We start from the raw sequence: 3704 nt of genomic DNA on the forward strand, positions 1-3704 counted from the left end.
ACCCAATCTCGGTCCTCAAATTCTGCATAAATAAGAATCACAGTGTTAGGATTCCTTGAAGAATAATGAGATTTAACTCGCTCTTTATTCATTTTTCATTTCTGTGCAAGTGCTTTCATTTCCTTCACCTTTGAGCTCTGATCTTTTCCCACTGATTTTTGTTTTTTGTTCCAATGGGAAGCACCCTTGTCTAAAGGTAAGCAGTGATGCTTCTACCGAGGCCACACCTTTGTCTCAGCAACATGATGTTGATTTATTCCTCTCTCTCTCTCTGGTCCAAGCTGAACCCTGCCTTATTCACTCCTAACTCTTATACAGAGCTTTTCTCCTGTGCCTGCTACATAGAAAGACAGTCTTCCAGCTTCTTTACTAATCTTGTTTCTTTCATGCACACACGCGTGCATGCACGTGTGCATACAAACACAGTTGGCTTTTCTCAGTTCCATATGTGAAAATAGGCAAGTTTAACGAAATAAAGGAAAAGTTAAAAAATTTTAAGAACTCTTACAAGCCCTGGTAATAATGATTTATTTATTTATTTATTTATTTTTTTCAGAATGAGTCTCGCTCTGTCGCTGAGGCTGGGGTGCAGTGGTGCGATCTCGGCTCACTGCAACCTCCGCCTCCTGGGGTCAAGCGATTCTTCTACCTCAGCCTCCTGAGTAGCTGGGATTACAGGCACATGACACCATGCCCGGCTAATTTTTGTATTTTTAGTGGAGATGGGGTTTCACCATGCTGGCCAGGCTTGTCTCGACCTCCTGACCTCATGATCTACCTGCCTTGGCCACCCAAAGTGCTGGGATTACAGGCATGAGTCACCGCGCCCAGCCTAATAATGATCTTTTAAAAAAATAATAATAGTCTGTTTGATTGTCCCCTCTTTACCCTGTTGGTGATGATGGGATTCCTGCCCTAGGGTTAAGTGAATGACTGAACACACAACACCAAACACTGGACAGCTGAGATGGACAACAGTTTATCAGTTACACATACTCCCAGTCTGGGGGAGGAAGCTACCACATGTCATGTAGGGCTACATGAGTTATTCACAGAGTGAACAACCAGGTGCTGTGGGAGGCAGGGTTTGTAGTATCAAGAGGGTGAGGTGGTCCCTGGTTCCTGTGGGAGGATGTGATTGGTTCACTTGAATAGTTCTGCAGTCTGGCAGGGAGCTGAAACCCGTTACTCAGGGATAAGCAGCGACTGTGCTTAGTCTCTGTGATAAGGAGGGTTTTGGGCTAGGGGACCTTGTCTCTGGTAGCCTTTACACCACAGGATCTCTATTCTTGCTTAAAAGTCTAAGTGGGGCTAATCTAGTTCTTTCTGGCTCCTGGCTCATCTCATTGTTACTTTGGGAATAAGTCACCAAAATAATTTTGTTTCTTTTCACGTTTTGCATCTCCACTTTACCTCTGTCAACCTTCTGGGTTGGATTAGAGTATGTCAAAGGTTTTTTGATTTTGTGCTTGCCCTAAATTTGACTGATTAAGTAATAATTAAAATGGGTTCACTGTTTATACTCTTAATTTTGAAGCTCTTTACCTACTCTCTTAGGTCAGACTCCTTTGAAGCAGAGCCTGGAACAGGAAGTCAGGTGTTTAGGATGTATTGCAGAAAGAACTTGTAAAGGAGGGAGGAAGCAGGATAGGATAGGGCTGGTGGAAGCTGAACAAAGGAGTGTTTTCACTTCTTCAGAGAGAGGCTCTGGACTACAAACCACACCTTGGAGGTATCCCTGCCTTGAAGGGAGGGGTCTCCTTTGTGCCCCTGTATTAGTCAGTCATTGACTGTGGGCCATGGGGTGGGGTAACTTCCTGGGGGAGCTGGCTACCATCAGCCCAGGACAATTCTGCAGAGGAAGGCAGCTAGGAGACTGGTGCCCTTGCCTGGTAAATGGGATCTGGGCAGGGTGCCAGTTACATCTACTACCTATACTTCACCTTGTTTAACTTCTTCAACAACCCTAAAAGGCAGATATTCTTATTTTTCCCATTTTTCAGATGACAAAAGTGTGGCATAGAAAAAGCATGGCAAAAGTGAAGTCAGCATTCCAGCCCAGAGACACCTGTGCCTGTTTTAAAAGCATTACAGGGAAGCACACCTGATCATTCCAAAGTCTCTTCTAGCTCTTTATTTTATGCTTTTACTCTAATTCAATTCATGAAATATACATTGAACACTGAAACTGTGTAGAGTTGTCTTACAGGAGTGTTTTACAGACTAGCCTGTGTTACATTGTGTGCCTCTCCACCAGAGGCTTTGATGTTGAAAGACCCTTGGGCCCATTTCGTCCAACACTTCATATTACATAATTAACTATGCATACCTTTTCGGATTCAGTCTCAAACTATCTGATGAGTTTGTTCTTCTTAAATCATCCGTGAGAAGTATCTGCTCATAAAATATGTCTTTTAATGAGGAAATATGACAATGGATCTTCATTTAAGTCAGTAATTAAGGAATATCATGGATAGGATCATTATCTCAGCTTTCAGCATTTTTTTTTCCTCATGAGCATTTTTATCCTCAAGCAAATAGCTTGAATGAAAGGGGCAGATGATTAAAGATTTTCGGGATAAGACCAGACATTTTGCCTTCCCAAGTTTTTGGTGCAAAAGAGAAATGGCTGTGAACCATGGACCCTCTGTAAAAGATGGGAGATCCATCTTCTTACAATTTTACCTTCTTGCTTACAAAAATGGGATGGACATCCGTCACTGGTGATCCCTGGGGAGAAAGGGGAGATTGCTAGGTAGGTTGAGTTTTTGCCTAAGATTTTCTAAATTTCGATTTTATTTATTCATACATTACATAGTTTAAATTCAAAGTAGTATTATAGCAAAAAGTCTCCCTCTCTCATTCTGCAGGTACCCAGTTCCATTTCCCAAAGGCAACAATGTTCAGTTTCTTGATTATTTTATTTTTCAGAAATGTTTTATGAATATTCAAGCAAGTACATATAAATATTTCCCAAGGTTTTTGAAAATTCAGTGGTTAGGGTAGAAGCAGGAAAATTCATGATTAGTTTTCTAGGGCTGCTATAACAAACTAGATAGCTTAAAACAACAGAAATTTACTCCCTCCACAGTTCCGGAGGCCAGAAGTCCAAAATCAAGGTATCCACAGGGCCATGCTGTCTCTCAAGGCTCTAGAGAAGAAGCATTCCCTGCCACGTCCCAATTTCTGGTGATTGCCAGCAATCCTTAGCATTCTTTGGCTTGTAGGTGCATCACTCCAATCTCTGCCTCTGTTGTCGTATGGCATTCACCCTGGGTGTCTCTTGTTTCCAAATTTTCCTCTTACTATAAGGATATCGGTCCCTGCTCCAATCCAGTGTGACCTCATTTTAACTTGATTACGCCTGCAAAGACCCTATTTCCAAATAAGGTCACATTCACAGGTACTGGTGGTTAGGATTTGCACATATCTTTTTAGGGGACACAGTTCTACCCACTTCATTTCATAGTGTTATAATTTCAAAGCTTTAGGCTGGCTTCTTAGATAAGTAGAGTTCAGTTCGCCTTTGGAATACAGAATGGGGTTGAAGGTTCATTTGTTTTGGATAAAACAAATACCCAAACAGGTTTTTCCCTTTCCTAGACATGAAGCAAAGATCTACAGCAGAACATAGAGATTTCTGAGCCTCCAGTGACATCAAGTAACCAAACTGTGCTGGATGTATATGAAAGCAGTTATCCATG

General features: G+C 41.8%; 1 annotated feature.

Annotated features, from left to right (window-relative positions):
- Nucleotides 498-705: a silencer, noted in NCBI's record as "fragment chrX:15961157-15961364 (GRCh37/hg19 assembly coordinates)". NCBI's record gives its function as "represses an EF-1alpha promoter that drives an FKBP-Casp9 reporter gene in an ReSE screen in K562 erythroleukemia cells {active_cell/tissue: K562}" and the evidence as "EXISTENCE:reporter gene assay evidence [ECO:0000049][PMID:32094911]".

The sequence above is a fragment of the Homo sapiens genome, chromosome X (assembly GCF_000001405.40).
Source record: "Homo sapiens chromosome X, GRCh38.p14 Primary Assembly".
NCBI lineage: Eukaryota > Metazoa > Chordata > Mammalia > Primates > Hominidae > Homo > Homo sapiens.